This window comes from Homo sapiens, chromosome 13 (assembly GCF_000001405.40).
Source record: "Homo sapiens chromosome 13, GRCh38.p14 Primary Assembly".
In the NCBI taxonomy this organism is placed as follows: Eukaryota; Metazoa; Chordata; class Mammalia; order Primates; family Hominidae; genus Homo; species Homo sapiens.
The window spans coordinates 102,584,100-102,604,244 of NC_000013.11; the positions used below are offsets into that span (position 1 = coordinate 102,584,100).

The following is a 20,145-nucleotide window of genomic DNA, read 5'->3' on the forward strand; positions in this document are numbered from 1 at the left end:
CATTTTGATTACAACATAACCCAGGCTATCCTGATAGAGAAGGTTCCTGTATAATGCAGACAAAACATCATGTTGGCTTGGATGAAAATGTTAGCAGTGGAGGTGATGAAAAGTAATCAGATTCTGAGCGTTTTCTGAAGATCAAGCCAACAGGTTTTGAAAATGGATTGGATGGATGGCAGAAGAGTGAGGAGACAAGATTTTTGGCCTGAGCAACTAGAAGCTTTAAAGTTTCGTGTAATTGAGAAGAGGAATACTAGAAGAAGAACAGATCTGGGGAAGACACATAGTTAAGTTTGGAGCATGTAAAGTGTGATATTCTTGTTAGACATCCAAGTGGAAATATCAAACAGGAGTTAGAATGTAGGAGAGAGGTCGAGCTGGAGACTCGCATTTTAGAATCTTCAGGTTGCTGATGGTACTCAGAGCCATGCAATTAGATTTCATCATCAAAGGCATAAGTGTAGGCAGAAAAGAGAAGAGGTTCAAGGACTGAGTCCTAGATCATGCTGACATTCAGAGGTCAGGAAAAAAAAAAGAGGAACTAGCAAAGGCAGCTGGAGCCATGAAACATGAGACATGAGGAGAGAGCAGTGTTCTCAAAACCAAAGACAGTCTCTCGAGGAAGAAGCAGCACTCAACTGTGTCAAATGCTATGGACAATGGTCAAATAAAAACATGAGGCTCAGCTTTCAGAGTTAGCAGTGTGGAGGTCCTTGAACAGACAGTTTCAAAGGTGAACCTCATCCTAATGGATTCTTAAGAAAATAAGAGGGGTTAAATTAGAGAAAACACAAGTCAAAAATGCTCAAAGCTTAACCTTGTGCCATCTAGGAAGGGAGACAAGTTTACAGGGTCCAGCTCCAGTATCAAAAGCAGAGCAGAGAAGGTACATTTGAAGAGGAGAGGCAGGAAGCTGACAACTGGCACACTGCTCCATGGCATAAAAATATCTTAGAGAAACTTCCCAGTTTTAATTATCCGGACTGTAGTGCTATACCAGCACTAAGTACAGCAAATAAATACAGTTTAGGTCAGTGTTCTCCAAACTTCCTGATGACAAGAATCACCCAGGATCTTTGTTTAAAACACAAATTACGATGCATTTCTACTAGGGCTTCTGATTCCGTAGGTCTGAAGTGGAACCCAGGTAAACTGTATTTTTAACAAGAGTGCTGGGTGATTCAGATCTTTGGGCAGGTTTGGAGACACTAGTTGAGGAAATATTTTTCTTAGTATTCAAGCAATAGATATCTGCATCTGATTTTAAAGTGTGTATGGGGTCTGCGTGTGCATATGTAAATGTGAGTGTATTTTATATATTGTATACTGTATACACACACGCATATATTATGCAATTTTGTTAAACATTTTGTTTTAAAAAATATGTATACAAAATCTTCAAGAAATCAATTAATAAAAAAGATTTTAATTATTTAATTTTTTATAAAGCCTCTTCTCTTTCCTTCCTACCTTCTCCTATTCCTTTTATATTCCCCAAAACACCTCCAAAACACCCCAAAACAGCTTTATGAATTCATTGGGAATTGGCTCATTCTAAATGAATACTTATAGTCAGTTTTAGAAGACTTCAGAGAATTCTGTCTGGAACCCCAATATGTGACCACCCCAGTTCACATGAATATACACACAAAGTGATTTTTATAACCAATTTTCTATTTGTCATTACTTTATAAAAGAAGAAAGAATAGTGCCTCAAGATCAGACATGTCTGTTGTTTAAAAAATTAGATTCTAGAAACAGTATAAATGTATCTGTCCATAAAATATTTGACAAATTATAAAGTAAATTTTGATGATTTACCTCAAGAAAACAAGGTCCCTTTACTGTATGGCTAAGCTGATTTTTAAAAACATTTCTTGCAAACTAAGAAGTCCTCTTTTAAAAAAATTGTGTACTTTAGTAAGTCTTAACTTGAGGTGGTGTAAATCTGACCAGTTTTGGTTTTGTTTATTGAGTCTCTACTACATACAGTCACATTTTACTAATAGCAAATAGCAAATAGTTATTAGCACTGTGGAAGCTATTTTTTCTCATGTAACTTTTTTTTTTTTTGAGAGAGAGAGAGAGAATCTTGCTCTGTCGCCCAGGCTGGAGTGCAGTGGCATGATCTCTGCCCACTGCAACCTCCGCCTCTCGGACCCAAGCAATTCTCATGCCTCAATTTCCCGAGTAGCTGGGATTACACGTGTGCACCACCACATCCATTTTTGTATTTTTAGTAGAGACGGGTTTCACCATATTGGCCAGGCTGGTCTTGAACCCCTGGCCTCAAGTGATCCACCTGCCTCAGCCTCCCAAAGTGCTGGGATTACAGGTATGAGCCACCAAGCCCGGCCTCATTTATACTCATATAACTTCCAAATTGATGATAGAGGAAGCAGAGGCCTTGCTAAAGGTCAGGTAGCTAATTAGTGGCAGACCTAGACCTAGAAGACAAAACCCTTTATCTGCTGCCCAGATGCTTTTGCTACCATATTGTTGGCTTCTCTTGTTCACTTCAGGATGTTCGGTATCATCATTGAGATTCGCCTTTAACTGGAATCTTAAACCTGGCAAGTTTTTCTGACATTCCAAATGTGGGCAGATGGACAGGTTTTATGAAGTCCCACGCAGGTGCCACAATTGACAACAGCCCCAGTTAGGCAGGTCCAGGCATGAGCCTATCCAGTGAAGCACCACAGGGCAGGAACTACACCTTGGACAATGGCTTGTCTGATTTAATACATGTCTGCCATCCTCATGGTGATTTATTGTCATGGAATTCAGTGAGAGAATGTTTTTGCTGATTAATATACATCAGGAATTGAGGTGAAACAAAGTAAGTACTATATGCCCTGTTCTAGCAGAAGCTGCTTTAAGTAAGGGAAAATTCCATATGATGTCAAATAAAAGTGTCAAATTTAAGGATACAAAGGAATCACCTGTCAACCCAAAAGCAGAAGCTGATTGGATCAGAAGCTCACTGTAAGCCCCCATCACACACTACATACCCATTTGCTTCTTCTCTGCCTCGGGTCAGGACTCTACTCCTGGTCTATCGTCTGTGGCCAGAAGGTAAGTGGGTTACATTCTTCCGGCCCACTTAGCAGGGACTGTGGGTTGAATGCCTCTAAGGATGGGAGTGGAACTTATATAAGCCATATACAGACATCTGACTTTGTCAGAACTAAAGTAAATGATGACCTTTATTACCCAAAAGGCTTATGTTTTGGAAACAACTGTACTTGCAAGAAAGGACCCATTTCCAGCTTCTCAAGAGATTTAAAAACAAACACATGGAGTTAAATAAACTGATATATCCAAACAAATTAATAGTACGCCTAATTAACAAGAAAGAATAAAATTCTACGTACGAATATTCATCAGGAAATATTGTGAAGCAAAAAACAAAGAAAAAAATAAAGTGCAGGACAGTGAGTATAGTATACTACAATTTGTGTAAAAAAGGAAAGAGGAAATATATGCATCATATTCTTTGTATGCATACGACATTTCTGGAAGGATACACAATTTAAGTCTAGAGAATTTTACACTCTTCAAGCTGCAATGTTTCTTGGGCATTCCTTTCTCTCTGTGATACTACAACACATAATGTTATCCTGTTTTTGTATTATTCTTTTTTTCTCACTCCTAAGAACACCAAGTAATAGAGTTAGAGAGACTATGCAATCAGTAATTACCAAATAGTGTAAACATTTGATATTAAAATAAATTGGGCAAATGCACAAAGATTTGAGAACCTATTCTGAGTTAGAAGCAGTGTGAGACATCACTGGGTATGGTAGAACACAATTCTTTGGCCAGGGAGGACATAGTGTAGTTCAACCACCATTTCTGAAGCACTCAAGTGCTAGGTGGTACACAGTTAGGAAGATAGGACTCTCAGATGACCTGGGGTAGTTTCTTCTATCCAGGGGGTTATCCATGAGTAGAGGCCTCCTACTGTCTGTCTAGCAGTTCACACAAGGTTACTAACCATGGGGGGGGGCACTTCCTGTTGTAGATGATGCAGGACATGAGAGCACCAAAACTGGGAGGATTCTTGGCTTCCCTCAGGAAACAATTCAAGGGCAAGCCAGTCGTGTTAGCAACCTTTTACTGAACAGCACTGCTCCTTGCAGTGCACCCAGAGTGAGCAGCATATGGGCTCTTCGCAACTGGGTTTATACTCACTTATACCCACTTACAATTGCATGCAAATTAAGGGGTGGGTTAATGCAAACTGAGGGTTGGGTTATTTAGAACTTTTTAGGGAAGGGGAGGTAACTTCCAGGTAGTTGCCACGGAAAAAGGTGTAGCTTTTGGGTTGCTGCCATGGCATTTGAGAACTGTCACGGCACTGGTGGGACTGTTTTATGTCAATGAGCAATGAGGGCAGCGAGGGATCACTGTTGTCACCATCTGCTGGTTCCTACGGTTTCTTCACCTCATTCATTGGCACCAGGAAATAAGTCCTGCCAGTCCCCCACCTCATAGATACTCCATTACCAATGCTTCACTAGGGTGAAAACAAAGTGGACATCAGTGAGGCTGTGGGGGCAATCAGGACCATCCAAAAGTCCAAGTTATTGTTCCTGCTATGGACTGCATATGTGTTCCTTTAAAATTCATGTGTTGAAACCTAATCCCCCAAAGTGATGGTATTTGAAGGTGGAGCCCTCAAGAATGGGATTAGCGCCCTTATAAAACAGGCCCCAGATAACTCCCTCACCCCTTCCCCTGTGAGGACACAGTAAAAAGACAGCTGTCTATGAACCAGAAGATGGGCCTTCACCAGACTGAGTCTGCAACTTGCTCTTGGATGTCCCAGCCTCCAAAACTGTGAGAAATGAATTTCTATTATTTACAAGCCACTCAGTTTACGGTATTTTGTTATAGCAGCCTGAATGGATGAAGACTGTCCCCATGGGCACACGATAGAACTGTACTTTTCTGCCTCCTTGGACTTGGCCGCGGCCATGAAACTTGCTTTGGTTAATGAAATGTGAGCAGAAGTGATGGAAGGTCTGGAAGCTGATGCCTATTTCCCCATGTTCTTGTTTCTCCTGCCGTGGTGACCAGCTACATTCCAGACAGTGCAGCCTTTCAACCTGAATCCAAAGGTGTGACAGCTTGGAGCAGAGCTCTCAGCCAACCAGGAATGGAGATGCTGCAATGAGTAGACAAGGGCAATGTCTTTTAGCTCACCGGAATTTGGGCTTGTATTCTGCCACAGCATAGCCTGGACTATCCCTGATCAACACAGAGGTCCTAAGAAGTTATTTACTGAAAATTCCAGTGAATGTCTCACAGCTGGAGAAGGCAACAAAGAGGAGCATAGAATTGGGCCTCGTGCCCAGGATTAAGCTTGCAGATGCAAGATGCTGCCCACGAAGGGAAGCTCCCGCCTAAGCCCCCGCTCTGTGTTTCCCCGTACATACCATCTGCCCCACACAAATAATCAAGGCCATCTGCCACATAATTCTCTTATGTCTTTAAACCTACAGTCTCTAGTGTCCTCTGGAGGTAAATGGATTCACTGTTCTGCCCAGTTTCTACTGGTTCTGCAGAGGGAAGGGTGAGCCTCTGGTCCCCAGGACAGCTGTTCAGAGCTGTTGGGGAGAAAGGGAGAAAAGGCAGCTCTGGTCCCACAGATGAGAGGAAAATGGTGAGAGATTTCACCATGTTTTGTGACATACGTGAAATTAAACACACCTCACCACTCCAAGTATTAATTTCCTGTCAAAAGCACCTATTTTTCCTATATGAAAAAATCACATTTCTCCTATTTACATAACATCGGCTCTTTTCTGTGTAAAGTAATAACCCTAGCCGTATAATGCTAAAAGTACATCTCCCCATCTCTGGCCTGGGAAGGCATTTTAAAAAAATTTCTTGCATTAACTGACAATAAAAGACACCATTCTGAAATTGATTCAACTTCGATATAGCTTTTGGGGTGTCTGAGTCTTTTTTTTTTTTTTTTGATATGGAGGCTCACTCAGTCACCCAGGCTGGAGTGCACTGGCGCGATCTCGGCTCACTGCAAACTCCACCTTCCAGGTTCAAACAATTCTCCTGCCTCAGCCTCCCAAGTAGCTGGGATTACAGGCACCCGCCATCATGCCTGGCTAATTTTTGTAGTTCTGTAGAGATGGGGTTTCACCATGTTGGCCAGGCTGGTCTCGATCTCCTGACCTCGCGATCCACCCACCTTGGCCTCCCAAAGTGCTGGGATTACAGGTGTGAGCCACTGTGCCTGGCCCATTTTTGTTTTGCCCAAAGAATATCCTTTAGTATTTACTTTTTGCTGTCTTTCTGGTGACACATTGCCTCGGCCTTTGCGTCTCTGAAGATGTCTTGATCATGTTCTCTTTCTTGAAGGATGTTTTCATTAGCTACAGAATTCTGGGTTGGCGATTATTTTCTTTCAGCATGGGTGAGCTGTCGTCTCATTGTCTCCTGGTTTTCTTCATTTCTGTTTGGAATCGGTTCTCAATCAATTGCTGCTTCTTTGAAAGTAATCTTTTTTCTCTAACTACTCTTGCCTTTTCATTTTTTTTTTACTATGATGTCCCCAGATGTAGATTTTTTAAAATTTATCTTGCTTCAGGGCCATCAGACTTTTTGAATATATAGGCTTTCAACTCTCAGATATTGCTTCTAAAGCATTTTCTTTCTCATTTCTTAAAAGCTTGTTAGAACTTCCCACTATTACATCTATTACTCTTTTCATCTCTTCTGTGTTTTTCATCCTTTTATTTTTCCAGGTATTTTTTAGTATTTTCTTGCAATTTATAATTCTTTTTGGCTAAATGACAGTAACTATGAAACTCATTCTTAATTACGAAACCGAGTTTCTTAATTAAGAAACTGAGTTCCTAATTTTGTTTTGCTTTTGTATTTTTCAGTTCTAAAATTTCTTTTTGGCTCTTTCTAAATTGGCTTTGTCTTTTTTAAGTTTCTGATTTTCTGCCCAAATGCTCAACTATATCTTTATCTTCCTGAATGGAGTAAATATAGGTATTTTAAAGTATTTTGCTTCTGCCAGGCAGAACTAGCTGAGTGGGTTTCAGCCTTGGCTACCCATTAGAATAATCTGGGTAGATATAAAATATCTCAATGCCCAGGCGAAAATCCAGACCAATTAAATCAGAATATCTGGAATTCTGGGAATCTGTGGGCTCAAGTAGCGATATTTTTAAGGTTCTCCAGATGATTCCAATGAACATATACCATTGAGAATAATCACCTTGATCCAAGTTCAGGACTTAATATTATCTATAATGTGATATCCCTCTGGGGCCAGTCTAAGTTTACTTTCAATTTATTCCTATTTGTTGGGTGTGGACTTTGCAGCCTCAACCCAAAATATAGGTTTTCCATGCTGTTCCCACTCTTGGCAGGCTCTGGCCTCCACTCTTGTACCCATAGCCCTGGGAGGCTGTAAAAAAAAATTCTGTCTCTCAGCTACCTCTTTACGCACTGGCAAATGCCCTGAAAGGCAAAGCTGTCTCAAATGTTAGGCTTAAGTCTCTGAATTTATGTCTTTTACGCGAACTCTTCACCACCCTGTTAGCTCTCTGATCCTTCAGGAAGGTATCTTTCAAGCAGATATTTTTCATACATTGTCCAGTTCTCACTTTCACCAGAAGGCCTGGTCCAAACTGCTTAGTTTACCATTTTATTACTGGAGGCTCAAGTACCTGGAACTTGATGTTGTGTAGTTTACTTTGGTTTGGAGGTATGTTAGCAAAGTGGATATTTGTCACGATTTCCTGGCATCATTGGAAAGCTTTCCTATGTTTATGGAATTTCCCACATTTTCAGTCCTGCTCTCCAGGTAAGAAATCAGAACTACTTGATCAGGCTTCCATACAGCCAGGCACGGCCTTGTAACTTAAACTTTGCTGATCAGGTCGCCCTGGCTTTTGGACTCAGTTATCTTTGGTAGAAACGGTAACGACGGCTTTTGCCTTTGGGGGGCAGCAGTGGCGAACCTTCATGCATCCGAACCTGTTTCTTTGGTGTGAGCTATTTTAGTTTCGGGTCCTCGGGGTGGGGGCGGACGTGTTGTGAGGAGCAGGGATACGTGTTAGTGCCTGCGCGAGGTCAGGTAGTCAAGGGTCCACAAAAAGCTGAGAGAGGCATCAGGCCGCGATGCAAGTCTGACGCCGAGTAAATAGGAGAGGCAGAGAGGCTGGGTGGAAGCGCCCTGGACCACCACGCAGTCCAACTTGGCAAAGCCGGCCGGGGAGTCCTGGAGCCTGAGACAGCAGTCCGCGAAATTGCCCGCCTCCCGAAACAGATCTGCTCCAGCATCCCTTCGCTTCCATCACGGGCTGGGAGCCGCCCACGGGAGGTGCGGCCTCGCTGCAAGGCAGAGGAAGATTTCAAAGCCCAGCGGCTGGCACATGTAGGATGCTTATGCAATCTCTAGAGTCTTGGAAAATTAAATTTTAAAATATTCTCTAAACGATAGGCTGCAGCAATAGTTGCAAGGAAGGCGATTCATAGAAAGCTATTGCCTTCCACAGCACCTGTGCCTTGGATTGCAGCCTCAAATGGGGCAGGTGACAGGAAAAACATCTGACTCAGCACTTCCTGCTTTGAACAATGCTGGGTGAGAGAAGTTGCTGTGCGTCCAGCCTATTATTAATACTTTACCCTCCATAAGATGACCAACGCCTAGGCCTACTGACCTTGTTTTTGCCTCTCCTCCTCCTCCTCATTTTTTTTTGTTTTATTATTATATATTATTACAGATTATCCATGTTTCTCTACTTATACTCTCTACTTGTTTCCAATATCCAATGAACTGTCACACAAACTGTCTTAGCATTAAAAATTCCCCCCAGTGATAATGTCATTAAATCAAAGGAGGAAAAAATGTAAGCACTTATAATATGTACAACATTTGGCTTGAAGACAAACAGTAAATGACTGTATTGAGTTAAAGTGATTTCAGGGGTTATATAAAATAGTGGGTTTCAAACTGGTACATGGATAGTTTCGATGAAATCAATTTCCAGATGCCTGAAGTCAACCACTTTTTTCTAAGCTTATCTGCCTGGCAGCGTGCCTGTGGCGGAAAGACATGATTCTCTTTTGCACCTATTTCAGTGCTGGGTCTCCCACCTTTTAGGGAAAAGGAACACATCCCGAATCTTACTATTATGCACCACCTGCAGGTGTAATAGCCTCTGGGGCATCAAATAACGGGACAATTTGAAATACTATCACTAAAACTTTATTTAATATCAAAGTTCAATAACCAATCCTATCCATCTTTTTTTAAAATCAAGAACAATTTTTGTTAAGACCACAATTAGCAAAAAAAAGTTACAGCATTTTTGAAACATTCCACAATCTATTATGAGGAACAAGGGCTAGGGAACAAACACCAAAGCATAACAGCATATGCTCTGCTGTGTGTTATGTTAAACCACTTTTCATTTGTCTCATTAAATCCATCTTTTCTACAATTTAAGCAAAGGTTATAGAGCAAAAGATGACATTTGTCATATGAGTGATTCTTAAAATGGGAGCTTCAACGTACGTCTGAATTTTGTTCACATTACTTTCTGGGCATATTATGTAATACTTATATATCCTGGTTTCGCTTCTTAAGAATTGATGATTCAATTTTACAAGAGACACAGACATACAAATCTTATCCTTTTAACTAGTCCTGTCATTAACAGAAGCATGACTTATTTATACCAAGCATCTTTTTAAGAGCTCTATTTTCAATAAAAATTTTTTTGTCCTGTAATTTTTAATCAAAGCTTAAGACTTACTCATGTTGTTGTAATCAACTTTGTAATAACTGAAAGATAACCCAAAAGAATAAGTTTAACATTTTTCTTCCAGGAAAATTTTTAAAATTAATATATTTTTATTGCAGATGATGATACATTATCAATATGCCTTTCCATTATAAATGCAAATTACAATGAGAAAAAATTCCATATAGAATGGAAATAAAGTTTCCAGAAGAAATAGTGATATAAAATGTCTGCTTTTAAGTGTTCAGATATTTTATAAATAGTTGATGGTAGCTATCAGAGTTACACTCAACTGGGTATATTTACATGAGAAACGTGAAAGTTTCATTAAATAATGACGATATTTATACTATGCCAGAAATTACATCCTTTATAATTTTTAAAATTTATGATAGGCCGGGCGCAGTGATTCACGCTTGTAATGCCAGCACTTTGGGGGGCCGAGGCGGGTGGATCACCTGAGGTCGGGAGTTCGAGACCAGTCTGACATCAACATGGAGAAACCCCGTATCTATTTAAAAAAATACAAACATTAGCTGGGTGTGGTGGCACATGCCTGTAATCCCAGCTACTTGGGAGGCTGAGGCAGGAGAATCACTTGAACCCCGGGAGGTGGAGGTTGCAGTGAGCCGAGATCCCGCCATTGCACTCCAGCCTGGGCAAGAAGAGCAAAACTCCATCTCAAAAAAAAAAAAAAAAATTGTGACAAATTTAGACTTCATTTTACAGCTGTACAAAGGGATACATAACTTTTTTAAAAACATGTTTATGGGATATGTAAGCAAAAAAAGAAAAATCTGGCCGGGTGCAGTGGCTGATGCCTGTAATCTGAGCACCTTGGGAGGCCGAGGTGGGTGGATCCCCTAAGGTCAGGAGTTCAAGACCAGCCTGGCCAACATGGCGAAACCCCGTCTCTACTAAAAATACAAAAACTAGCCAGGTGTGGTGGCATGCACCTGTAATCCCAGCTACTCGGGAGGCTGAGGCAGGAGAACTGCTTGAACCCGGGAGGCGGAGGTTACAGTTACCCGAGATTGTGACATTGCACTCCAGCCTGGGCCACAGAGTGAGACTCTGTGTCAAAAAAGAAAAAGAAAAGGAAAGGAAAAGAAAAATCTAAAGAACATTGTTACGGCAGTCTAATAAAAAGTCTGCCACCTAGGTTTCATAATAAACTGTTCATTCCCCATTTATTCATTGGGTGATACTCTGGCAAAGTCATGCACATGGTGTGGTAGAACATACTGGGGAGAGATTGTGAGAAGACAAATCCCGTGTTTTCATCAACCTGTTTTGTAATCCATGACAGTCAGTTAACTTTGTTTCTTCATCTATAAAATGAAGTGATTGGACTATGGTTCACTTGAAACTGGGAGCCATTCTGTTCTATCACTATAAGCTCTATACTGAATGTCTTCTGCGAGTTTGTTATTCTGTTTTCGTCTGTGTTAATTTGAAATTCTTTTCTAGAGGTAATGTAAACAGTTGGGAATAAGAAGAAAAACATTCAACTTTTCTTTTTCCTCTGCACTAAAGAGAACATGCTTGTGTAAGACTTATGGACTGAATAAATGATCAAGGAATCAGCTGAAACCATTGCACAGCCATAAGAATAATTTTTGAGACTTAATGGAGGATCTCTGAAATTCTGTGGGTTGGAAACCGCATGCATAAGGCTTTCCTTTATACCAGGTATTCTTAACTTGGTGTCCATAGACAGAATCCAAGGGGTTCAAAAACTTCCGTAGAAAAAAGATACAAACCTCTTAATTTTTTTCACATCAAGTATGAATGTAGGCAAAAACCAGGGTAGTTATGCTGTTATGTCACCAATAAAAATCAGTTCATCGTAGTGCAGTTTTCACCGCTATCTCCAAATAATTATATTCTTCACTATTTTGAAGTTATGGTAGTTTATTAGCCTTGGCCCTAGCTCCTGTTATTTAATGCAAAAGAAGTACACCTGTAACTATACACACACACGTAAAGCTCCTGCTATATAACAAAATTGCCTTTAGTATTTTTGATAACTGCATTTAAACATAATTTATTTCCTGGGTAATCCTATCTATTTCATTGTATGCATTTTAAAACACTGCTTGAGAAATAGGCCTCACCAGATTGCCAAAGGGGTCTTCGGCACAATAAAAGGCTAAGATTACCCTGGCATGAGCATAGACATAAAGATCATTAGAGGACCACTATGCAGCTTGCAGCAACTGACGGCAGGCACTGTGAATCTGGAAAACTGAAAATTATGGCTCTATAATTGAGTGGACAGCCGTAAGGAGCAATCAGAAACTTCAGTGTAAGAGGAAAAAAAAAGATGTTTTTCAGAAATCCCGGAAGCTAAGGATCAGCAGAGGATAGGAGGGGCCCATTTCAGTCTCGTGCTTTGTTACTGGCTACAAAGGCGACGGAATGACCAACAACCCACTTCCTGTTGACTGAAACTATTGCCTGTCTCCACCCTATTGCTCCCCCTCACCACCTCACCCCCATCAAAGGGGCATAACAACACAGGGGAACCCAAAGTCTACACCCCTTAACCTACGACCTTCCAAAATCATGTCCGGAGCTTTCGCCGACACCGCAGACTCCTTAGCGGCTAAGCGTGAGTGCGCCGGCTCCCTTGCCTCGGGTCAGCAGCACCCCGGGGCTGGGGCTCCTGCAGCAGCCGCACCAAAAAGTTTCATCCACAACCTTAAGTTTGGAAACTATCGTTTGCCAAGCGAAGGGTTCCCATTATTCCTGGCTGGCGGTCCATCTCCTTGCCCGTCTCTCGGGGAGTGATTCGGTCCGGGACACCAGGACTCTGCTTGGAGGCCTGCTGTTGCCTAAAAACCCCAAGCGCGGGCCTCTTCAAGGCCCCAGGTTCGAGATCCGAACCCTCCAGTAATGTCCTCAGACTCCTCCCCCTTCACTGCAGCCCGGGCAATACTCGGGCCTAGCTCCTGAGAGCGGCGCCGTTGGCTTACGTAGCAGCACGTGATTGGCCACCGCTCCCTGGCAGGCCGGGATTGGTGGAAGACGGGCCGACCCCGCCCCTCGCCCCCGCCTCCGGCCCGAGGCCGCACGGGTGTCCTCGCGCTGCTAGTCCGCGCGCAGCCTGGCAGTTTGCCGCTTCCTCGTCCTCCATCCTGCGTCCATGGCCACCGCTGCGACTGAGGAGCCCTTCCCTTTTCACGGTCTCCTGCCGAAGAAGGAGACCGGAGCCGCCTCCTTCCTCTGCCGCTACCCGGAGTATGATGGGCGGGGGGTGCTCATCGCAGTCCTGGACACGGGGGTCGACCCGGGGGCTCCGGGCATGCAGGTGAGGCGGCCCCCGAGGGCCCGGGCGCGGGGGCGCGGGCGGCCGGGGACGCGGGTGGGGACACAGTCTCGGAGCCCGGCAGGCCAAAGCCCCGCTCTGCGGCCGAGTCCGGGCCGGGGTGGGCAGCACCGGGGTGGGCAGAGGTCAGAGCCAGGCGCGGGAGGGACGGGCGCCCGCCAAGGGGACTCAACGGCGCACAGTGCCAGGGTCGCTGGGCGGGCGAGGGCCCGGACCCCAGGTTGGGCCGTGGTCCCCCCAGCTCAACAAAAGCAGCGTGCCCGGCGCGGCTGCCTGGGGAAGCCTGGGTCCCCCTTTGGCCCCAGGGACTCCCCTTCCTTCTCGCTTCGGCGCTGCCAGGCCGGACCCCCCAGGCTCCTTCCCTCCACGCCGCCTTCCTCTGCCTACCCCTCGTGCCTCGGACACCGGTCCCAGCCTGACGTTTTTAAAGAGAATTTTACAGCTTTTATCATTGGGGTGGGGTGGAGACACCAGATAGGCAACTGACATGTGAGAACTTAATGTTTAGGGATCGGGAGATTTGGTTTGGGGAAGAATAGTTTGTCTTTAAGCACGAAAGCTGGGTTTCCAGAAGATAACCCAGTCCTCTTCCGGAATTGTTTCCTGTGGTAGTTTTGTGTATTCTATTTTTAAACGGTCTTCTGCAGCGTGTTTGCTTAGGGTCATTGAATCTTGTGGCTTAGTCTTCGTTTACATAAGGAGAATTCAGTTAGGTTTGGTTTTGGCGAGCTTCTCAGACCTTATGAAAATATGCGACTTTTTTTTTTTTAAACCTGAAAACATACGACGGTTTTTAAAAATTACTTAGTTTTTTGCCTTAGGCAACTTTAAAATCTGTAGATTCAAGGTATCATACCAGAAGGTAGTTTTTTTGAAAGTATGTTGTCTCTCGTTAAAAGCATTCTGTTTAAAGTCTTTAAAGTTTAACTTTTGTACTTTTAACCCTTTACTGAAATCCAGTAATAAAATTTCACCGTTATTCAAGATCCATCTCCCAGCATCCCTGACTAATCCTACTGTATGCTGATCTCTCGTTGATCAGCCCCTGGCTATCTTATCCTCCTTTCTACACTAAACACTCATCCTCCTCCCCACAATGTCCCTTCCCTTCTGGATCCTTTATCGTGCTTTCTGATTATTGAGGTAGCATTTTGGAAGTAACGAGGGGGAGTCTGGCCGAATCTGCTTAGAAACCCCTGGGAATCTTGATTCCTGGTGTGTGTTCTTCAGCACCACTCTGGAGTACAGCACATCTTTTGTGAATCAGAAGAGGATCAGGTACTGAATTCCCTCCCGGTAACTGGAGTTATATAGTTGTCGTTGTATTAATAACTTAAAGACTTAGAACAATGACAGCTATCAACTCATTTGGGGCTTTATTACAAAGTAATAATGCTTTTCATTCAGCTGTGGAGTGTGTTTACTTTTTATAGGATGAGTGGGAGGAAAACAGCTGGGATAAGTGGTTCACCGGTTCTTTTGTCAGGATAATAAGAGGGTCAGAAAAGTTTGGAGAAGTGCTGCTTGGTAGAATTTGTTGGTAGAATTTCCAGATCTGTTTCTCACATTATTCTGTTACTCTCTCTAAAGTAACAATAATTTTCACCCCACAGCCTTGTTGTGAAAATTGATTATAAGAGGACTGGCTAATTACATGTGACTTTTTTAAATGCTCAAGAAAAATATTAAACTATTTTGGCAATGATATTTATTCTTTTTTGTATATATAATTTCAACTTTTATTTTAGATTCAGAAGGTAGAAGTACAGGTTTGTTACATGGGGGTATTGCCTGATGTTAAGGTTTGGGGTGTGATTGATCCTGTCACCCAGGTAGTGAGCGTGGTACCCAGTAGGTAGTGTTTCAGTCTTATTTCCACCCCTTCCCTTTGGGATCCCCAGTATCTGTTGTTCCCGTCTTTGTGTCCATGTGTACTCAATATTTAGCTCCCACCATAAGTGAATAGAAGTTTATGCTGGATCTTTCATCACCAACTATTTGGAGGGTAAATATATGTTAGATATTTGCATGTAATAAATATTCAGATGATAAAATATTGAAATAAAATGAAAGCATAAGTCTTCTCTTTTAACAACCTTGACTCAGATATTGGCCTAAACATAGCCAGTTAAAAGAAATTGGGTACGGTGGCTTGCAAACGTGAGGATTTTTTTTTCCTGTACCTTTAACAGATTTATTTTGTAGATATATGTGTACATCATTAAGATTAGAGGATGGATAGAAAGAAAAAGGAAGGAAAGAATGAAATAGGAGGAAGATGAGGCTGAACTGGCAGTTTGGAAAGCCGGGTGGGGTCTGAATAAAGGACTAGAGGCACAAGTGAAAACGTGGAAGAACACAGTGGGTTGTCTCAGTCTTTGGTGACTTCCTTGGGCCCAATTCTTTTGTGACAGGTCTGTGGGCATGATCAAGTGGAGGATGGGTGGCATGAGAAGAGTAGTAGTTACGTAAGTGATTTCATATTTCCTCAGCAGATATTCAGGCACCTACCAGGTGCCTAAGTTTGTGTTAAATGATATAGTCTTGCAAACTGTCACTCTTGCAGAGATTGACAAGGATTATTGGGGGGATGGGGCAGGGATTGGGGCAGCATTGGCCAGTAAGAGCTGGACTGGTCAGGTTTCACAGACCAGATGGAACTTGGACTAGACCAGAATATATGTATGCAATAGCCAGGAGGTCTCCCTTCCACCAGTCTTGTTTCTCTTTGATCCATCCTTCACATTTCTAGAGTTAGATTCCTTAAAAAAAAAAAAAAACCTTGTATTATACCCTCATTTAAAACAAAGCCATTTTGGAATCTCAACTGCTTTTGTGTAAAAATTAAAAAAAAAAATTGAATGGTATATATGAGGCCATTTGCCATCCAACTCTGGCCTCCTTATGTAGCCTCAGTTCTCATCATTTCTTATGTCCATAGCCCCTTCATCCCCACCTTTCATCCTTTGCCTCCCCTTGAACATTTCATTCTTACACTCACCTAGATGTTTCAGGTCTTTTTGCCAATACATGCCTTTACATGTGGCGTTTCATCTTCCGTCAGGCTTCTACCATCCGTCATCTGTAAACTCCTGCTTCATCCTTTAAGATCCAGTCGGGTCTTGACACCATTATGTTTTGGAAAATCAACTGATTTAATTCTGCGCGCCCCCTCCCCCCACCACCTCGTATTTATGTGTGTTTGCCATTGTGTTAGGGCCTGCAGCTTCAGAGGTGAGTAAGGCCCAATCCCTCCTAAGAGTTATTTAGGCTTTTTGTCTCTTTGCTGTTATAGCAATTTGCTTAGATCCCCTTAATAGCACCTGAAATATGTATTTTAGTGTTTCTGTTTAGATAACTTTTTCCTGGTTAACTTAAAAATCTTTGAAAGCATGTATCAAAATTGTATGACATGTGCTTGTAATGTTAAATGTTTTTGTTGAATGGAAAAAATATATATGGGCATAATGAAGGAATATAATTTCCTCATAGAGGGAAAAAAAAGGTTTGAGGAGGTTACGAGTAGTTTCATAAAACTCTATTTTTACATTCACTAAAATTTTATTACCTCTCTTTCAGTTAGCTTTCCCTCATTCCCCCCAAGTTGGGTTTTGTGTTTTTACATGTTTTTGTATGCTTTCATAGATAGTGTCCTAACCTCTTTTTTTTTTTTCCCTCAAAGACAGGGTCTCACTCTGTCACCCAGGCTGGAGTACAGTGGCACAGTGGCAGGATCACCACTCATTTCAGCCTCAAACTCCTGGGTTTAAGCAAGCCTCCTGCCTCAGCCACTGCAGTAGCTGGGACCATAAGCATGTGCCACCATACCCAGCTAATTTTTTAATTTTTTTGTAGAGACAGGGTCTCACTGTGTTACCCAGACTGGCCTGACCTCTATTATTTGTTGTCCTGTTTTGTCATCATCTCTCTACTTACTTTTTCTTTCCAACCAATAGTAACCTTTACAAAAGCAAAGATTGTCTTATTTATATTAATCATTATATTCTTAGAATAAAAGTCACTGGTTAATATTTATTAAATCTTTATTTGCTTAAAAGAATATTTTCAGTACCTTTCCTGAAATTTTAAGTCAACTCATTAACTTTGTGTTGTTTATGATAGATTGCAAACTTCCCGCCATTTGTTCTGGTCCTCTCTGCAAATGTCCTACCTTTTGTTCTGGTCCTCTCTGCAAATGTTTGGCAAATCTTCCAACCTTCACTAACTCCTCTACCTTACTGGTTACATTGAAGACATACACTAACTTAGATTCTTGACATTTTGGGAAAAGCTTTGGGCAATTTCTGTTTCATCCAGCCAACATAGCCCAGTAAGCATTTCCCAGTCTCCCACCCCAGGACCCAGGATTTAATACCGAAGCTCTTACCGATACTAACTGCCCATGCTTTCAGTCCCTCTTTCCCATGTGAAGCCTCCCCCTTCTCAGAGATGAGTGATATAGTTCCATTGTTAGCAGTTCAGCTTCCTCCTTTCCTTTACTTCTCCCAAAACACCATGGCAAATCCTCAGGGGGTTTGCCTTTTTAAAACCCTCCTCTGACCCTACATTTCTGTTTTTGTCTTTTTATGTCTAGTGAAGTGGTTTTCTTTATCTAATATTAAAGTAAGAAATTCATGGATAGGATAATTGCATGTATAATAATTTGTAATGAAAATTTGTGTGTGTAGGAGAGAGATCCTTGTAAGTAAAGCATGTGGAAATAGGTGACAAATAAGCCATTAAATCCCATTAGGCTTTTTTCCTTTGCTAATATATTGATAATGAGGTTTCTAATGAGAGATCTATCTGACTTGTTAGTGCTCTCTTGTTATTCTTGATCTCAAGTCACTCAGGTTTGCTTATTGAGGTGAAGATAGGTGATTTGGGTTCTTAGTGCTACTGTATATCTTTCAAATTTCATATTGGAATACATTTTAAAATAGGTGATTTTCTTATATGATTAGTACATGACCTAGCTAGTTTTAATTTTATAAAGTAGTATCAACTTAATTTTGTTTCCATTTTTATTTTGGTAGATTTTCTTACATTTTTCTCTTTTTTAATTATATTTTTGAGACATATAGCCTATCTCTTCAGAATCAGTATCTGATTTAAGTTTTATAGTTGTATCAGGGTTTGGTATGATTCCCACAGTGATTTTTTTTAATTATGACTTTGAGTTTTCTGAGTATTAGAATTCTTATTTGTTACTATTATAGGACAGTTCCCAAGAAGTAAACATCCAACTTGAGAATTACCATACATGAAAATAACAGCTGTGCCTGGGAGGCCTTTATGACCCCTTCAGCTATCAGGCCCTCAGTTGTTCCATGGCAACAAGATTGAAATGAGATTTGGGGTCCACCAACCACCCATTTGCTTTGTCCGGTAAAGGAAAAAAAAATGTGTGCTTTTGTTTTCTCCACATCGAGAATTTCCCTCTCCTTCTTCAGGGTATACCTTAATTACAGAGCTTGGAGGTTATTGCAGAGGAAATACTTGTGTTGGGGTGAGGGGCATGTTGGTCAGAAAGACCCAGAGCAGTGGACATTAAGCTTTGTCGTAAAGAGTGTGAATTCTCCAGGTGGAATTGGAGTCTGAAGACTGTGCTCTTCCACTTTACTGACAGTTTCTACGGTTTTTATGTTTCTGTTTCTTTCTTGAGGATGGAGTTTTTTTGTTTTTTTGTTTTTTTGTTTTTCGTTTTTTGTTTTTTTTTCAGTCGTTGTGTCTCTGTTTTCTGGCTGATTCCTGCTGGTAACTCAGTACATATTCCTGAATGCAACAAATTCCCTTTGGAAAGCCAGCCAAGAAAGAGCCCAGAAATTATTTTCCCACAAAAATGTGTAAAAATATATATTGTTACTTGTAGCAATCATGTTATGGCTCAAATGAAAATTTGTGGACTGGCAAGAAATCAAACCTTTGAAAATCAGTCTTAGTGCTAAGTAACTTGTGTCTTGTAATTCAGTAATGAAGTATTCATTGAATGCCTGACAGGCACTGCTAGGTAGTGGGTATATGTATGTTCGTGAATAAAGTAGACATGGCTCTTGCCTTCATGGAGCTTTCTATTCTAATAGGGGGAACAGATGAAGATCACCTACTTGTATCATTAGAAATAGAATTATGTTCTGTGAAGGAAATGAGGTACAGTGAGAAAAAATAATCCAGTTTAGGATGGCAGCTACCTAAAGGAGGTCATCGAGGAGGCCTTTCTGCAGGAGGGACTTTAATAGAAAACTGAGAGAAGATAGAATCCTGTGGAACAACTGAAGAGATAAAGAATTCTAGGCAGAAGGAACCTGTTTAAAAAGTCATGAGGCAGGAAAAAGTTTGGCATGTTTCAGGAATTGAAAGGAGGTTGGCGTGGTTAGACTCCTGAGTAACGGGGTGGCAGGGGTCAGATGGTGCGAGGCTTTTTATGCGAGTATTCTGAGTGCTCCATGAATACATTGATGGGCTTAAAGGAGAGGACTGATAAAATACAGCTTGTTTTAATACAGGTTGAGTATCGCAAATTCGAAAGTCTCCAATGAACATGTCCTTTGAACTTCATGTCCATGATTTTGGAGCATTTGGAATTTTCAGGTTAGGGTCACTCAGCCTGTATTACTTTTGATGGGGCCAAGAGTGGAAACTGAGGGACCACTTAGGTAATTCACCTCATGGAGGCAAGAGATGGTGGTGGTTTGGAAAGTTAGGATAGTGGTAGTGAAAATGCAATGGATTTGAGCTCTCTTCTAGACAAAGAATTAACAGGATTTCCTGTTAGCTTCGCTGTGAGGAGTCAACTGAAGTAAAGAATCAGAGGAGGATTGTTAAGTTTCCAGTGTGAACAGCTGGGCGTGGGGATTCCTGGGATGGCAAAGCCTGGAGAAAATCAGGTGGTGGGGGGCATGTTAAGCTTGAACTTTGTTGCGTTTGAGGTGCTAGTGTGGCATCCAATAATGGTGCCATTAAATGGTACCATTACTACTAAACATTTTTTCCCCCTAAAGCTCTAAACTTGTCCAGCCCACA

General features: G+C 41.8%; 1 protein-coding gene and 1 long non-coding RNA gene across 9 annotated transcripts in view, besides 11 other annotated features; one reads left to right on the forward strand and one right to left on the reverse strand.

Moving 5' to 3' along the window:
* Positions 371-470: an enhancer, noted in NCBI's record as "active region_7965". NCBI's record gives its function as "activates an Ori minimal core promoter by ATAC-STARR-seq in GM12878 lymphoblastoid cells {active_cell/tissue: GM12878}" and the evidence as "EXISTENCE:reporter gene assay evidence [ECO:0000049][PMID:35858748]".
* Positions 7,800-8,349: an enhancer, noted in NCBI's record as "H3K27ac-H3K4me1 hESC enhancer chr13:103244249-103244798 (GRCh37/hg19 assembly coordinates)". NCBI's record gives its function as "activates a minimal SCP1, AML or CMV promoter by ChIP-STARR-seq in primed H9 embryonic stem cells {active_cell/tissue: H9 hESC(primed)}" and the evidence as "EXISTENCE:reporter gene assay evidence [ECO:0000049][PMID:30033119]".
* Positions 7,800-8,897: a biological region, named in NCBI's record as "H3K27ac-H3K4me1 hESC enhancers GRCh37_chr13:103244249-103244798 and GRCh37_chr13:103244799-103245346".
* Positions 7,890-8,109: an enhancer, noted in NCBI's record as "active region_7966". NCBI's record gives its function as "activates an Ori minimal core promoter by ATAC-STARR-seq in GM12878 lymphoblastoid cells {active_cell/tissue: GM12878}" and the evidence as "EXISTENCE:reporter gene assay evidence [ECO:0000049][PMID:35858748]".
* Positions 7,939-8,114: a silencer, noted in NCBI's record as "fragment chr13:103244388-103244563 (GRCh37/hg19 assembly coordinates)". NCBI's record gives its function as "represses an EF-1alpha promoter that drives an FKBP-Casp9 reporter gene in an ReSE screen in K562 erythroleukemia cells {active_cell/tissue: K562}" and the evidence as "EXISTENCE:reporter gene assay evidence [ECO:0000049][PMID:32094911]".
* Positions 8,140-8,469: an enhancer, noted in NCBI's record as "active region_7967". NCBI's record gives its function as "activates an Ori minimal core promoter by ATAC-STARR-seq in GM12878 lymphoblastoid cells {active_cell/tissue: GM12878}" and the evidence as "EXISTENCE:reporter gene assay evidence [ECO:0000049][PMID:35858748]".
* Positions 8,350-8,897: an enhancer, noted in NCBI's record as "H3K27ac-H3K4me1 hESC enhancer chr13:103244799-103245346 (GRCh37/hg19 assembly coordinates)". NCBI's record gives its function as "activates a minimal SCP1, AML or CMV promoter by ChIP-STARR-seq in primed H9 embryonic stem cells {active_cell/tissue: H9 hESC(primed)}" and the evidence as "EXISTENCE:reporter gene assay evidence [ECO:0000049][PMID:30033119]".
* LOC107984588 (uncharacterized) lies at positions 9,238-12,843 on the reverse strand. The gene is made up of 2 exons (XR_001749984.3): positions 12,349-12,843; positions 9,238-10,302 (listed from the first exon to the last, which is right to left on the reverse strand). It is a non-coding gene; the product is annotated as an uncharacterized LOC107984588 (long non-coding RNA).
* Positions 12,321-12,480: an enhancer, noted in NCBI's record as "active region_7968". NCBI's record gives its function as "activates an Ori minimal core promoter by ATAC-STARR-seq in GM12878 lymphoblastoid cells {active_cell/tissue: GM12878}" and the evidence as "EXISTENCE:reporter gene assay evidence [ECO:0000049][PMID:35858748]".
* Positions 12,531-12,590: an enhancer, noted in NCBI's record as "active region_7969". NCBI's record gives its function as "activates an Ori minimal core promoter by ATAC-STARR-seq in GM12878 lymphoblastoid cells {active_cell/tissue: GM12878}" and the evidence as "EXISTENCE:reporter gene assay evidence [ECO:0000049][PMID:35858748]".
* Positions 12,661-12,950: a silencer, noted in NCBI's record as "silent region_5481". NCBI's record gives its function as "represses an Ori minimal core promoter by ATAC-STARR-seq in GM12878 lymphoblastoid cells {active_cell/tissue: GM12878}" and the evidence as "EXISTENCE:reporter gene assay evidence [ECO:0000049][PMID:35858748]".
* The window catches only part of TPP2 (tripeptidyl peptidase 2), an 82,973-nt gene continuing 75,714 nt past the window's right edge, over positions 12,887-20,145 (forward strand). For all 8 annotated transcript variants that reach the window (NR_160411.1, XM_005254070.3, NM_001330588.2 and 5 more), the window contains exon 1: positions 12,887-13,104. Coding sequence is in view for 7 of the 8 variants with exons in the window: in XM_005254070.3 (XP_005254127.1) it covers positions 12,940-13,104 (165 nt within the window). In the remaining variant the exon portion in view is untranslated. The remainder of the gene's footprint in view (positions 13,105-20,145) is intronic.
* Positions 13,111-13,400: a silencer, noted in NCBI's record as "silent region_5482". NCBI's record gives its function as "represses an Ori minimal core promoter by ATAC-STARR-seq in GM12878 lymphoblastoid cells {active_cell/tissue: GM12878}" and the evidence as "EXISTENCE:reporter gene assay evidence [ECO:0000049][PMID:35858748]".